This window comes from Homo sapiens, chromosome 9 (assembly GCF_000001405.40).
Source record: "Homo sapiens chromosome 9, GRCh38.p14 Primary Assembly".
NCBI lineage: Eukaryota > Metazoa > Chordata > Mammalia > Primates > Hominidae > Homo > Homo sapiens.
Genome location: NC_000009.12, coordinates 99165036 through 99181061, shown reverse-complemented (window position 1 = coordinate 99181061; position 16026 = coordinate 99165036). Strand labels below are relative to the sequence as shown.

The 16026-nt window shown below is 45.9% G+C and overlaps 5 annotated features.

Moving 5' to 3' along the window:
* Window positions 1217-1717: an enhancer, noted in NCBI's record as "H3K27ac hESC enhancer chr9:101941627-101942127 (GRCh37/hg19 assembly coordinates)". NCBI's record gives its function as "activates a minimal SCP1, AML or CMV promoter by ChIP-STARR-seq in primed H9 embryonic stem cells {active_cell/tissue: H9 hESC(primed)}" and the evidence as "EXISTENCE:reporter gene assay evidence [ECO:0000049][PMID:30033119]".
* Window positions 1718-2218: an enhancer, noted in NCBI's record as "H3K27ac hESC enhancer chr9:101941126-101941626 (GRCh37/hg19 assembly coordinates)". NCBI's record gives its function as "activates a minimal SCP1, AML or CMV promoter by ChIP-STARR-seq in primed H9 embryonic stem cells {active_cell/tissue: H9 hESC(primed)}" and the evidence as "EXISTENCE:reporter gene assay evidence [ECO:0000049][PMID:30033119]".
* Window positions 9401-9570: an enhancer, noted in NCBI's record as "experimental_103896 CRE fragment used in MPRA reporter constructs". NCBI's record gives its function as "activates a minimal promoter by MPRAs in K562 erythroleukemia cells, with activity observed for both the introgressed and non-introgressed 9:101933859 variant alleles {active_cell/tissue: K562}" and the evidence as "EXISTENCE:reporter gene assay evidence [ECO:0000049][PMID:34662402]".
* Window positions 9597-10379: an enhancer, noted in NCBI's record as "H3K4me1 hESC enhancer chr9:101932965-101933747 (GRCh37/hg19 assembly coordinates)". NCBI's record gives its function as "activates a minimal SCP1, AML or CMV promoter by ChIP-STARR-seq in naive H9 embryonic stem cells {active_cell/tissue: H9 hESC(naive)}" and the evidence as "EXISTENCE:reporter gene assay evidence [ECO:0000049][PMID:30033119]".
* Window positions 13621-13915: an enhancer, noted in NCBI's record as "tiled region #12902; K562 Activating DNase matched - State 8:EnhW". NCBI's record gives its function as "activates a minimal TATA promoter and a strong SV40 promoter by Sharpr-MPRA in K562 cells {active_cell/tissue: K562}" and the evidence as "EXISTENCE:reporter gene assay evidence [ECO:0000049][PMID:27701403]".

Sequence of the window (16026 nt, the reverse complement as noted above, 5' to 3'; positions counted from 1 at the left end):
CATATCACCCACGACACTTGCCAAAAGGAAGGGAAAACCAGGCCATTGCAAAGAAAAATGAGAAACAAGCACAACTGAGGACGGGAGGAAAAACACGGTCCCCTCCAGTGAATGAGAGATCAGAGGGCAGAGGGGCCCCTGCTGCAGTCTGTGTCCTCACTCCCCTTTGGCGACTCGCCTCGCTCTCCTGGCTTCTGGTCCAGGAAGCCTCACCCTCCATCAGAGGCCACGGCCCCTGGCCTGGTGCAGACCACATTCTGCCATGTAGGTGCCTGCCAATGGAGATCCATTAGAGTTTCCTTCTGTGAAGGCCCTGGTGGCCTCTGTCCTCAGAAACAGCACCTGTCTAGAACGGTCTCTAGACTTTTCTTCTCTGCTTGGACTCGAAAGTCCATTTCCAAGGAGCTTTTTCCTGAGTTCAGACCTACTAAAGTGGTTGCATTTTCTAAGAGATTCAAATGGGACATTTTCCTGGAGGAAGGAACTAGAATTCACTGAAAACCCATCAATTGCTTCTGTACATACTCCTCAACCACTGGCCAAGTCATAGCAAACTAAGAAGAAATTAGTGCTAATCCTCACTTCTGGGAGATACCAACACTGGGCCTAGATAGATCTGTTTGCTCAAGAATGTGATGATAGATAACAAAACCAACATATGAAACCTCAACTTGGGGCCTTGTGAAAATTGTGTAACAGAGAGAATAGGAACCAGGTATAGTAAGGTCCAAAGGAAACCTTTCCTTAAAAACACAATCACTTCCTGAAATAGAAGGAAAATTTGGGAATGGATAGGGGCATATTCTTAATGAGACATCAAAATATGGAAGTTCTATTAAATAAGAACTGAGCGAGGTAAGGAGAGAAAGTAAAGGAAAATAGTTTCAAGATAAAATGCACTGAAACCGGTAAGCAACAAATTTCTTACTTCAGATAATAAACTGATAAAATGTTTATTATAATAAACTTACAAGATATATTATAATAAACTTACAAGATGTTTCCAGAAATGCGATTAAGAAATAGAAAAGATGAAAGCGGTAACAGGCATGGCTATCAATCGTGGATCTCCAACCTATGAATAAAAGGTGCTACAGATAAAAACCGGGCTAGGTTAGCAGCAATACCAGAAGTATCATGGGAGAAAAAATTCCCAGATCTGAAAAAATACCCCAAATTCTGACTTTGTTACCATTGAATTCTGCTAAAAAGAAAAACCGAGCCTAAGATGATGGAAGACTAAGGAAGACTGGGAGGTACCGTGGGGAAGGAGCCGGCGAGGCTGAGCTCAGGGCCACGGACCTGGAATCAAGGTCTTCTCTGTCATTCGCCATCTGGGTGGCTCAGACAAGCCACTGCCCTTCTTCTGGGACTCAGTTTTCCTCCCTGTGAAATGGGAGGGTGTCCATCTTAGTTTAGGTTTCCCAAAGAGCAGAACTGAGGCAACGACTTGGGTGCAGAGAGTTAATCGAGAAGGCAATGTCAGGCGGCAAAGCAAGAAAGTGAGGAAAATGAGACGGAAAATTGGCCTCCAGAAGCCAAGGAAGGCAGCTGTGGGCTCAGACCCACTGGGGACCCTCTGAAATACTGAAACCAGCCTCAGAATCATCCCACAAGCTGGGGACTGCCTTTTGCAGCTTCAGGAGAACTCCAGGGCCAGAGAATGTGGGACAGGGTGGCAACAGGATCTACTGCCAACCCCCTGCAGGCCCAGCACTCTGATATGAATCAGAGGGATTCAGAGGGGAAGATGTGCTGTGACTGAGCGCTGCGGGGCTCCAGGGTGGATGCCAGGCAGGGTAGCAATAAGACAAATGCAATTGTTCTCACACCTGTGTGTCGAGGTGGGCTGTGTGCTCCTTGGGGGAGATGAACCATGTCTGAGTTATCACGGCAGCCCTGAAGCCCAGTACAGAGCCTGGCATATGTTAGATGCTCAGTCATTGCCACCCCCAACTGTCCCAGGGGCAGAGCTTAGACCCGTGACACAGGTTTCAGCTCAATAGAAGGAAGAACTTTCTAAGAAGTGGTGAAGGGCAGGACCGGCGCCTCAGAGTTTTGGTGCCCTTTCCCCAAGCTAGGCTCATTAGCATCTCACTCTCCTCTGGCCTGACTCCCACTCCATACTTGAATTCCCTCAATATCACATACTCTTTCATTTCCTGTTTATAAATCTGTAGCAATGTGGTGCTCGCCACCTCCTAAAGTAGCTTTTGCCTCCTTCTTGTTCTCAGAAACACCTTGTTGCAAAGGCCGGGTCCAGGTGCAAGCCTCAGCTCCATAAGTCATTTCACCACCCAGGGCCTCCGTTTCTTCTCCTGAAAAATGAGGGTGTTCCGACAGCAGAGTTGAGAGTTACATTTGGTAAAGAATCTAGCATAGCACTCATCACATCTACTTAGTCGATAACATTAGAAAAAATTAAATACTGGCCGGGCGCAGTGGCTCATGCCTGTAATCCCAGAAGGGTGGGAGGCTGAGACTGGCAGATCACTTGAGGTCAGGAGTTCAAGACCGGCCTGGCCAACATGGCAAAACCCTGTCTCTACTAAAAACACAAAAAATTAGCTGGGCATGGTGGCAGGCGCCTGTAATCCCAGCTACTTGGGAGGCTGAGACAGGAGAATTGCTTGAATCCAGGAGGCAAAGGTTGCAGTGAGCTGAGATCGTGCCACTGCACTCCAGCCTGGGTGACGAAGCAAGACGCCATCTCAAAAACAGTAAAAAAAAAATTTTTTTAATTTAAAAGAAATGTTAAAAAGAAAAAATTAAATATATAGGTAGATGTGCTTTTATTAGACAATACACGTTCCCTTTTTGCCTGGCAGTAGGCTTTAAGCTTGTCTCATGCTTCAGAGTCACCTTACCCTAGGCTTCTGATATAAATATTTCTCCCCTACCCCAGCTTCGCCTCCTTCCTCTATTTGGTTTCTAACCCCTGTGACATCTCCTTGTCTTCTTTGTAGGTGTGTTTATTAAACAGAATATCCACATACTTTGCAGAAGTATTTATGTTCACATCCAGCTGCCTATAAACTGAATCTGGCCCACTCACATGTTTTGTTTGGCCTGCAGAATGCTTAATAAAAATATGAACCAAAATTTTAAAATAGAAATACTTTACCCCCCAAAAAATCTGGATTTCCGACTTTTCTTGAAAAACTGGAAAACGTGGCAATTTTGGGCCACACTGTTGGCAACCATTGGCTGGAGCTGAGGCAGCTGTTCCTTAGAGAAGACATGGGCTCTTCACTTCACCCCAGTTCTCACCACTCCCTATCGTCTCCCTGACCCAACCCCCGCCTCACTAACTTGGCCTGCCTGGCCTCTGTAACTTTTCTCATTGTGACCCCCTGTTTACATAACACAAATCCGCATGAAGCATCTATTTTCTTCCAATAATGCAGGGGCAGGTATTTTCTATATCCCCAGTGCCTCCTTGTTGATTGAATGGATAAATGAACAAATGAATGGATGCTAAATAAATCTGAACAAATTAAATATTTAATTTTTTTTTGAGACAGGGTCTTGCTTTCCCATCCAGGCTGGAGTGCAGTGGTACAATCCTAGCTCACTGCAGCCTCAGTCTCCAGTATTCAAGCAATCCTCCCACCTCAGCTCCTGAGTAGCTAAGACTACAGGCACGTGCCACCAAGGCCGGCAAATGTTTCTACTTTTTTTGTAGAGGTGGGATCTTACTATGTTTTCCAGGCTGGTCTCAAACTCCTGGCCTCAAGGAATTCTCCCACTTCAACCTCCAAAAGTGCTGGGATTTTAGGAGTGAGCCACTGTGGCTCACCTGAACAAATTAAGTGTTTATAAACATGTACAAACTGCACTGCTGTCATAGGAATGAAGTTCAAGGTGAATCTCACAAGGTTCCCCTCGAGGATAAGCAGAACTCTTACTCCCTGATACTCAAAATAAAATACCCCACTCTTCTGAATAGCTCCCAGACACTATGTCCCCCTTGTAAACAGAACCGCTCCCTCCAAGCCCAGAGGTCAACTTCTTGAATATGTCATGCCATTTCTTCACTCTCCTCCCCGGGTTGCTTATCAGATGCTCTGTGCATCATCTCCTGCATCCCGTAGCCAAATAAACCAGTCAGTGCTCAATTCTCCAATTGACTGGATGGCTCAGGGAACAAACCCTCAAATCTGATTACAGGAAAATTCATTACTTTAAGTCCTCCCTCAGGGTTCAGAGCTCATAAAAGAAACCTCCAGAGGCCCAGGCCGAGGGGAAGAGAAGCTCCTATGCTGCACATCTACAGATTGCCAATAATTAACCTGAACTAATTATTGTTGAGCCCCAGGTCAGTCTTCCCAGATCAAGGCTCCCCTGACAACTGAGTTTTCAGAGCCAGAACTTTTCACTCAGACACAAAAGGAACATTCAGCAGATTTTAATAAAAAAGAGCATGACTCACATAGGATCCTCTGCTAGACAGAGACCCAGCCGGTTGGAGGCTCACTGGCAGGGACACGATTCAGGGCCCCCAGAGAGACACCTGTGTGAGGACTCTCTTCCTGGCCCTGTTTACAACCCTCTTAGGATTTTTGAACAAATAAGACCACACATCTCAACACATAAAGACAAACAGCAAGTTAGGAAAAATATGTACATTCTGTTCATAATATTAAAAGCTGACATGAAAAAATAAGACAAAAATGAATATTCCAAAGGAAAAAATAGTAAATTATAAGGAAAAATAATTCACCGTGGAAACAATAGCTAATCTGTATAATCAACATAGTTTCATTTCATGTTCAGTCTCACTCTAGTAATTTTTAAAAGTCAGTGAGATAGTATTTTGTTTTCTGGCCGGGCACAGTGCCTCATGCCTGTAATCCCAGCACTTTGGGAGGCCAAGGTGGGCAGATCACCTGAGCTCAGGAGTTCAAGACCAGCCTGGCCAACGTGGTGAAACTCCAGCTCTACTACAAATACAAAAATTAGCTGGGCATGGTGGCACACGCCTGTAGTCCCAGCTACTCAGGAGGCTGAGGCAGGAGAGTCACTTGAACCTGGAAGGGGGAGGTTGCAGTGAGCCAAGATCATGCCACTGCACTCTAGCCTGGGCAACAGAGCAAGACTCTGTCTCAAAAAGCAAAACAAAAACAAACAAAAAACCCATTTTGTTTTCTGAGATTGGTAAAATGTTTTGAGCTGGGCTTTTTTTAGTGCTAACGTTCATATTCATAAGGGTAGTGAAATTGAGCGCTATTATACACTGTTGTTTGGAGTATAAAGTCATAAATCAGTGCAATTCTGAGAAGGTAATTTGGCAATAGATAACAAAAACCTTAAAATATGCATATTCTTTAAACTTTTATCTTAAGAACTTTATCCTTAGGGCAGTGGTTCTCAAGCAGGGGCAACTGTGCTGCCCAAGGGACATTTGGCAATGTAGAGACATTGATTGTCAGCAAGTTGGGGAAGGGGTGCTGCTGGCATCTAGTGATGCAGGCCAGGGAGGCTGTTACCCATCTCATGGTACACAGGACATCCCCCCAGAATAAGAATTATTGTCACTCTTGAGAAACCCTGCTTTAGGAGAAAACACTCAGGCAAGTTGACAGGGGTATACAGCCAAAGATATTCAGTGAAGAATTGTTTAGAAAGCTAAAAAATGAGAAGCAGTGTGCATCACTAAGTTACCAATTAAATAAATCATATGCCATGCATACACTAGACCATCATAGATCCATTAAAAATTGAATACACTCCAGCCTGGAAGACAGAGCGAGACTCTGCCTCAAAAAAAAATTAAATAAATCTGTTTATTGATGGGAATATATTCATTCTATAGTGCTAATTGAGAATAACTAGTTTCAGAATCATATGCCTAGTAGGATCATCTTTTTGTATGTGCATATGTATGTATAGAGAAAAATCTGAAGGTGTTTATCTACCATGTTACACCTTTAACAGTAGTTTTCACTAGGTGGAAACGTTATGGGTCATTTTAAATTTTTTTTTTTTTTTTTTTTAAGATGGAGTCTCACTCTTGTTGCTCAGGCTGGAGTGAAACGGCATGATCTCGGCTCACTGCAACCTCTGCCTCCCGGGTTCAAGTGATTCTCCTGCCTCAGCCTCCCAAGTAGCTGGGATTACAGGCATGCACCATCACACCCTGCTAATTTTTTTTGTATTTTTAGTAGAGATGGGGTTTCACCATGTTGGCCAGGCTGGTCTCGAACTCCTGACCTCATGTGATCCACCTGCCTCAGCCTCCCAAAGTGCTGGGATTACAGGCGGGAGCCATCACGCTCAGCCCATTTTAATTTTTTGTGTTAGTTTTTCAGTGTTTTCTATTTTTCTTTTATTAGCACGGCTAATGAAGGCCTTCTAACGCAGAGTTGAAGATCAAGGACATTAGAATCAGACACCAAGCATTCTGGCTGGGTCCTGTCTCAGCTCTGAGAAAAGCTGCATCCTTGCATGGCAGCCATCATCTGAAACTGTCCTTCACCCAGAGGCACCCCAATTCCCATAAAGTCACCCCATGGCAAGATGTCAGCATGTCCATTTTTTTTTTCTGGAAATCATCCAAAAGCAACAATTTCTATTGAAATGTAGAGACAACCTAAACTCCAGGATGAAAACTATTTGGAAGGGCTGCCCAAAGCAGTGGAGATAAAACAGGAGATAGAACAAGGGGAGCACGTTGAGGCCGTGAGGGGCTGCAGGCCTCCAAGAGAGCCAGCAAACATAATTTTCTACACTGAGGGGTATTCCCCCAATGTGCAAAATGACTCACTTGTTCAGAACAGTGAGTTCATAGTAAGGGTTATTGCCTAGCATAAAAAGATTTTTCTGGACATGGTTTTGTTCTAAAAAGCAAAGGAAAAGGGGCTATAAATGAGAGCTCACCCAAACTAGCTATATTTGCAGGCAGTACTTTGGGGAAGCAGCAGAGGAGAAGAGTGAATTTGCATGGCTAACACAAACAGCACTCCCCAAGAAAGCAATGAACAAAACCCAGCTTATTTCCACTGGCTTGGGAGCAGTAAAGGCTAAACAAACTCACATACAATACCTTGCATCAGTTCATAATCAAACAAAGAAACCATTGTGCTGGGGACATAGTGCTGAGGCAACTGATTGTACTTCCTAGCCTCGTAGACCTCACAATCTGGCTGGAGGAGCCAGATGATAGCCAAATAATTCCACGAACCACGAGCTGCAAATGCAATATGGTGGGTAAGAGCTTGGGCTTTGAAGTGAGGTAAACCCAGGCTCTAACCCCTCACTCCTCCACCTAACCTCTCAGAGACACTTTGCTCATCTGCAAAATGGGAAAGTATAATATAATAGCACCTGCCTTCGTGGGTTGTTGTGGGGTTTACAAGAGATAACATATGGAACACACTTAGCGCGGCGCCCAGCACATAGTGGGTGCTCAGTAGGTGTCGGCTTTGTTATTATTAATATCACTGACATGATCAGTAGCAGCAGCAGCAGCAGTAGTTGTAACAGTATGATGAAGAAAAAGCACAAGTTGTTGTAAGAACTTATAATGTTCTTACAAGGGCCTGGAGAAGGGCATGTTTAGATGGTGGTCATGGAAGCTTCTCTGGGGAAGAGCTAGAGGAAACAAAAAGAACATAAGTCTCCAGAATTTGCCATAAGTCACCCTGCATGGAATCTGTGCAGCCCCCTTCATGGAGACACAATTAAATCTACCCACATTAAAGGAAAATTCCTGCCACCCACCCAACACCCTTCTTTCACAAATACTCCCATTCCAAAGATGTTTGGTTACAACTGTATATAATTTCAAATGTTTTGCATATTACAAAATGAATACAAATGTTTTCACAACATGGAAAAGAACCCGGTCTGATTTCCACTGATGTCTCTGCAAGTGGCTACTTTGATTTTCTGCAAGTCACTTTTGAGGACTGCGCTCTCTCTTTTTAAAGTACAGAGCTTGGGTTAAATGATTTTAAAAGTCCCTTCAAATACAAAAATCTTGGGGATGATCCGGATTCCTCCAGTGCGTGGCAGGGGTATTCCAGCTGAGCTTAACTAGCTCTCAGGGGCCAGGAGACCCCTGCTGCCATTGGAGCCCTACCATAAAGCGGAGGTTCCCCTCCCCCTACTCCGTTTGGCCTCTCCTGTCAGCAGGTGCAGCAGACTGGCAGGAGCTAATGAAATGTTTACTGAAAAGATTAGCTTGTCAGTGGAGCCTGGACAGATGGCTATTGATCCTCTGCTCATCTGTCACCCCTGTTCCATTTCAGACAAGGTGCAGGAGCAGGCTCTCTCTGATCCAGAGCTCAGGCAGGGGCTCAAGCCCCAGGTACACATCCCCGGTGGCACACAGGAAAAGAGGTTTGCAGTGTGAGAAGGTCTCTTAGATCTGTGGCCTGGTCCAAACAGTCCCTGGGTCACTGGAAGCCCCCACCTCTTCTCTGTTCAATTGTTCAGCTGAGGGATCCTGGCAAGAACATAGGAAATGTCAGACCTGAGTTCAGATCCTACCTTAATTACTTTGTGAGCTTGTGCCCTCTGAGACTCCATTTTTCTTACCTATAAAACAAGGACAATAACACCTGCCTCATAGAAGTATGACAAGACTATAATTAGGAAATTAGGATATCATGGTTCTAAGAACCAACACCATTGAGGGAATGTTTGTTTTATTCGTTAAAATGAAAAAGCTGAGGCCAAGATTAGAACCCTTGCAGAGTGCAGGAATTTTCCCAATGTGTCATGCTCGAGTGGTCTTGAGGAATCTGGCTTCTATGATGTTCTAAGTAGCTTGACCTTATCTTGAGGTCAACGCCATGCCACTGAAGGGCATGATGTGATGAAATATGAGTTTAGCAAGGTAGCTCTGCCTGTAGGGAGGTAAGACTGGAATGTGTCACAGCTACGGTAGTGGCAATGGGAATCCAGAGGCTTGTTGGAGACATAAGAAGGTACGAGACTTGAAGAGTGATTGATTGATTGATTGAACATGAGAGGTGGCAGCAGGGATGACTCCCCTGTGCATGGCGGCACTTCCAACGACACAGAAGCCCGGAAGTAGAAGCAGTACAGGGGAAGCTAATGAGCTCATTTTGAGCATGGCAAGCGTGAGATGCCTGCAGGACTCCCAAGTAGGAGGACTCCCAGGTGGTTGATGGAGTCTGAGGCTCAGGAGTTAAATCTGGCCCAGTATAGAGATTTGGGAGTTGTCACTGTCATCATCTTCCTCCTCTTCCCCTTCTTCCTCATCTAGTTGGTAATGGGGCCACAGAGTGGATGAGGCCACCCACGGAGAATATGTGACCAGAAGAGAAGGGGCCAGCACAGAAAATCCTGTGGGGACTGGCAGAAAGAAACGCCTGGGAAACAAAGAGTGCTATCATGGAAGTCAGGAGTTTCAGAGGGGAGGGAGGGAGTGAGTGGGCAACAGCAGAAAATCCTACAAAAAGGTCATATAAAAAAACAAAAACAGAAACCTACACAGTGTCTCCTGGACTTAGTAACAAGGAGGTTGTTTTAAACTTGAGAAAGGCAGTTTCTGTGGGGCAGTTGAGGGCCAAAGGTCAACTATGGAGAATTGAGAGTGGGTGGGAGGTGGGAAAACGCAACCTGTGCAATGTCCCTTTGGAGAAGCTCGACACCAGCTGGAGGACCATGGGGGACGGCAGGGCTGATTTAGGAGGGGCGTCCCCTGAGAGTATGCCCTGTGCTGTGGGGAGGATGCAGGGGAAGTGAGCGAGTGGAGACCTGCAGAGAGACGATGAGCCCGAAGGAGCCTGGAGAGGCGCGAGACCAGAGTCCAGATCCAGATTGGGGGTTGAGGCCAACTCTGCAACCAACTACCACCAACAAGGCAGGCCCTATAGACAGGGCAGGCTGAGCCCCAGGGGGAGGAAGGGAAGCTAAGCAGGCCCCTCCTGGAGGGCTTGAGTTTCTCAGGGAGGGAGGTGAGGTTGTCTGATGAGGACATTAAGGCAAGTCAGGAGGCTGTGAACAGTTGCCCTGGGGAAAGAAGGGTACTGGCCAGGGGTCCCCAGGGCTACCAAATGAGGAGGAGACCATGAGTATGCACAGGAAAGGAAGGCTGGGCTCGAGGGATGCCCAGGGTCAAGTGGGCAGGACCCTCCATTTGCTGGGCTGGGGGTACAGTTGCCACTCAACCCAACTGCACAAGTGGGGAGGGACAATGGACGAAGGCCTTCGGGGCTGCCTGGAGACACCGCAGCTGCTCTCCATTTGTGAGAGGGAGCCCCCTCCTCTCCATCCCTCCCTCTCTCCTCTTAGAAGCATCCCCCTTTCTACCCGCACCCCCAGCCCCACCCCTGCTCCCCGGCTTCATGCAAGTCCACATCCTGAGTGCCTGGCATCAGGCACTGAGACCAGAGAGGACAGAAAGCATGTCACACCCACACACATCGGGCAGGGTGGATAGGAGCCCCCAGCCAGGAGGCCTCCAGCTAGTGTCTGACCCTGGGACCCTGAGGCCTTTCTCAGCCTGTTTCCCCATCTACACAGTAAGAAGGCTGTCCCCAGGAATCCCTAAGTCCCCTGGCCAGTGCAGACATTCTAGAGAGTGAAGATTTCTTTATGAGTGTGTTTTTCATCTGAGCTGCTGGCAAGGGAGGGCAGGGAGATGCGGTGCAGGGCTGAGCTCAGAAACACAGACACAGAGTTAACTGCCGAACTGTCTAAACAAGATCTGAATGGAAACGCTGCCCTGTTAATTAATGGCTGCTTTTGAGGTTATTAAGTTAGACTGGGTAGGTGTGTGGCCTTTCTTTCTACTGCCCTTCCAATTAACAGGCACTTTGCTTGGTAAATGTTAATTTAGAGTAATTGGGCGTGCAGAGGAGGGGAGTGCAGGCGGGGGAAACAATGGTCCCTCTACTGTAGGTTAATTGCTAGTAAACGTTGTTCCCCGCAGCCCTGGTCCCAGATGAGGATGATTAATGGCCATGGAGTACTGGCTGAAACCCTCAGGGGTCAGCAGAGCTGCGGCAGGTTTAACCCCTCAGTGACCATGATGAGGGCCAAATCCCAGTGACTCCTACTGGGTTTATGAGCAAGAGAACTTGAGGTGTGCTCCTCACCTGTGAAAGAGGCTAATGGGGTCGCTTCTTGCAGGTAAGTTAGGAAAGTCAAGCATCAAGTTGGCAAAAAAAAATGCTTCATTCCACTGATAGATGGAATAACTCGTTGCAGCCGTGATTACCCTGGGTAGTATCATCTAAGGAAATAACATTGATTTCCAGAAAATAACAAAACAACAACAACTACAACAAAACTCCAACGCCCCCCACTTAGCCTCTGCTCTCACACAATCTGTTTCAGCCAAGTCAACCTGTGACAGTTTGATGTGTGAACTTGTGAACAGTCCCATATTCAAGCAAATGCTACTCTAGGAATTGCTATGAAAGTATATTGTAGATGGGGTTGAAATCAGTGGACTTTGGATAAAAAAGATTGTCTTGGATAACCAGGGTGGGCCTGATTCAATCAGTCGAGCAGGGCTGAGGCTTTCCTGAAGAAGAAATTCTGCCTGTAGACTGAGGCCATAGATCCTGTCCCAGGGCCCCAGCCTTCCTTTCCTGACGGCCTGCCCCTCAGATTCCGTAATGATGTAAGCCAATTCCTTGCAATAAAACTCTTAATCTATATCCCCATCAGGTTCTTTTGGAACTCTGATTGATACACAGCCCAAAAGTGACTCGGGCTGGAGACAATGCTCTGAGCCAGGCTTCTTTTCCCTGCCTGCCTCTCTCAGAAATGCAAATGAGAGGTGGCTCATCTCCCAGCTCTCAGAGCCACCTGGTAAGAAAGTTCCTGCACTCACCTGGGTCCCAGAGCCTCCCAAGCCCAGCTGTCTTCTGGGCTAAGAATTCTACAATCACCAGGATAGTTTCTCCCCTGAAAACTTCCTCTCAGGAAAAGGCCATGGATACATTTTTCTTTGGAAGAAAAATAAATTATTGTAACATGCATGGGATTGTACCTATACATGCTTTATTGTGAAAAAGCAAATGGATCAGTATTTTAAATTTATTAATTTTAAAATCTCTAGGTTATAATGGGGAATAATAAAAGAACATTGGATACTCTGTGTAAGAAGGGAGGGAGGAATACAAATATCTGTTCACATTTACATAAGAATCACTGGAAGGACAAACAAACTAACAAAGACAGTTGTCAATGGAGGTGATGGGGTGGAGTGAATTGGACAAGGGTGAGAGGAAGAATTCTCAGGGAAAGATACTCTGATTTTTTTTCTTCCAATATGATCTCAAGATGATTTTTTAATTAAGTGATTATTCAAAAAATAAAATTAAAAACATATTCATTTCACAAGAAGCGCCTAAGCACCTCTATGACGGACTCTAAGAACCGAGAAATGAATCAGAAACAGCCTGTGTGTGTGTGTGTGTGTGTTTGTGTGTATGAGAGAGAGAAGGAAAAACAGACAGACAGACATTGCCACCTTGGACAGGGAGGCTATCTAGAGTGGACGGTATGAGTTTTGAGCTAGGCAGGATTCAGACAAGCAGAGGAGTAAGGACATTTGGTGATATTATGATGGCCAAGGCCGCACAAGAGATGGTCATCTGTAGCATCTCCCAGCTCTAAGACTCACCCCATTCCCCCTCCCACACATACACCTTTTCCTTCCCCTGCCAACCTGAGTGGATTTCAGACTTCTCCCTCCCTTTTAGAAAGAGTAGAATTTGGTGGAGATACTGTCCAATCTACTGTGCTTTTCTCTTACAACATCAGTTCAGGGCATTGGACCCAGGATGGGAACGTGGCTGTTGGGGAGAAGATGAGCAGAGAGGAAAGAGGCCATTACAGAGACCGTCAGCAATCAGCTTCATTCTTTAGGAGACATCCACATCCAGGGCTTCCAGAGGCCATGGCAGGGCTGGGTCAAGCCCTCCTGGGGGAGGAGGGGGATCCCCTGGACATCCGCCTGGAGTACCAACCCCTGTCACTCAGAGACCCCAGAAAGATGAAAAACGGGGTGGAAAATGCATTGGAATTGTTTACAGGGAGGCTATTCTGTGGCTAGAACATTTCAATAAACCTCTTTTTTAGGGGGGAAGGGGTAAGAAGGCGCTGAGGGTTGTGCTTGAGTAATAAACTGCCTCAGAGGAAAGCGGGTTCAGTAGCTGCAGGGTTTGTGGTTTGCTAGGAGGTGGTGTATATTTGGAGAGAGAGCTCACCTTGTCAGCAAGAAAAGGAGAAGCTGAGCTGAGGGCCATTACCAGCAATCCTCCTCCAAACCAAGCTTGGCCTCTTTAAAGTGTAGCTGTTTGGTACAGCATCATTTATGTGAAAATGGAGAGGGGGCTACATGCATGGTTGGATATATGTGTTTATGTACATATGAATGCATTCATGCATGCATGCCTGTATGCATTTGTTAGTTTATGCATGAAATATCCCTGGAAGAATCCAGCAATATGGTTACATTGGTTGCCTCCAGGAAGGTGAGCTGAATAGCCCAGAGATTATATCAATTAGCAGACAGACTAGGCTGTCTGTCATAAGAAGTGACCCCAAAATGCAAGGCTTAAACAAGATAGCATTTCAATTCTGTCTCACAAAGCAGGGCAGGTATAATGGTGACGAAGTGTCAGGGACCCAGGATCATTCCATTGTGTGGCTCTGCCATCACTACAGTGTTGCCTTCCTCTGCAGGGAGGAGGATGGCTCACCATCACCTCTGCAATCCAGCCAATAAGAAAGGGGGAGTAAAGAAAGTGAAAGGCACATCCACGCCCTCTAGGAGAGCCACTGAACGTTAAGCACATGGCCTCCACTCACCTCCCACTGGCCAGAACTCAGTGACTTGGACACAACTAGGAAACGCCCTCCTTAGCTGAGCATTCATGAGTATAGCTAAAATTGGAGATTTTGTTTCTAAAGAAAGAAGGGCAGAATAAATATAAGAGGACAACCTGTAGTCTTTATCTGGGATAGGATGAAAGGGACATTTTCACTTTATATATCCTTTTAGTACCTTTAAAAATTTTTTCCTGTACCCTCTTGATAGACCTTTCAGTATCTTCTGAACCATGTGAATTAGGAAAAAAAATTAAGTTTGAAAAATATATTAGTTTGGAAGTCACAAATTGAGCACATGCATCCACCTCTCCACTACACCATGGATCCATGGGGATAAAATATATTTTTTAAAGAGTGAAATCAGATCAGTGCTGGAAAGCAAGACAGGGTGCCAGCAGATGAGAAAGTCTGAGAAAATACTGGAAGCTAGAAAGTAGATGGGATTGGCTGGGTGCGGTGGCTCACACTTGTAATCCCAGCACTTTGGGAAGCCAAGATGGGCGGATCACCTGAGGTCAGGAGTTCAAGACCAGCCTGGCCAACATGGTGAAACCCCATCTCTGCGAAAAATACAAAATTAGGTGTGGTGGCGCATGCCTATAATCCCAGCTACTTGGGAGGCTGAGGCATGAGAATTGCTTGAACCCAGGAGGCGGAGGTTGCAGTGAGCCCAGATGGTGCCACTGCACTCTAGCCTGGGCAACACAGCAAGACTCTGTCTCAAAAAAAAAAAAAAAAAAGAAAAGAAAAGAAAAGAAAAAGTAGATGGGATCAGATCAACTGAGAAAGTACAAAGGTAAACCACAGCCCCAAACACCAGTACCAAGAACTTTCCTTCTCAAGGGAGCCCTAGAGAAACCCCAAACTCAGAAACAAGAGACAGAAAGCAAGAGTAGACCATAGGATAACCATCAGAGTAACTGAGCAAAGAGCTGCATTCACAGTGGCTGGGACATTCGGGGCCCCTCCCTTCTCCCTTCCCCTGCTCAACATATGCTCAACCCGTAAAGGAACAACTAGTGGTAATTTTGCCCTTTGGGTACCTAGGACCCAATCATTATTCTTAAAAAATGTGGGTGATCTATCCAGGAAGGGATCCTAATATAGGTGTCTAAAGTCAAGAGAGAAGCAGAACAAGAACAGGGTTGGAAGTCTATGTAGGCCTCCCCAACAAATATATATGGCAAGTTTGGGTTGAGAGGGTGTATTACTCCATTCTCACGCTGCTAATAAAGACATACCCGAGACTGGGTAACTTATAAAGAAAAGAGATTTAAATGACTCACAGTTTAGCATGGCTGGGGAGGCCTCAGAAAACTTACAATCATGGCGGAAGGGGAAGAAAATACGTCCTTCCTCACCTGGTGGCAAGAGAGAAAATGAGTGCTAAGTGAAGGGGGAAGCCCCTGTAACTATCAGGTCTCATGAGAACTCACTCACTATCACGAGAACAGCACCGAGGGAAACCGCCCCCATGATTCAATTACCTCCAACCAGGTACCTCCCAGGACACGAGGGGATTATGGGATTACAATTCAAGATGAGATCTGGGTGGAGACATAAAGCCAAACCATATCAGAAGGCATGGAGGGGTGGTAGAAAGTCCTCTGTCCAAAAGGAAATTATAGCTAAATACTCCAGTCCGTTATTTAAATACCTCCTTACCTTGGCAGGCGTGGGCATCCCAGGCTGCCTGCTGCAATCTAGAGGTGAGCCTGCTGACAATATGGCCCAGCCACTCAAGGGGACCTGAACTGGCCCTCCCCTTCCAGGGAGACGCCTCTTGTGAAAGCAGGCCACACCAGCTATCCATACAGATTAATCTAATCCTTCATTTAGGAAAGTCGACGGAGAGCCATGGAGCCCCAAATATTTGAGGAAAACCAATAGCACAACCAAGTTGAACAAACATGAGTAAACACAACGTCATCCTGGAAAAAAAAAACAAGATGAAGTAGGTAATGTTAAAGATAAAACCCTAATTAGTATCTCTGGAGAGATGTGAGAGAATGAAATCTCCAAAACAAGAGCCAGCTGCCGTAAAAAAGGAGCCATCGGAGAACAAGAAATAATTTCTAGAAATGTAAAATAAGGGTCAAAATTTTAAAAATTCAGCAAACAGGAATAATAGAATGGCCAAGACCAAAAGCCAGAGCAGTTGTGTGGAAGTCAATGAAATCTCCAGAAATACAGAAAAAAGTCAGC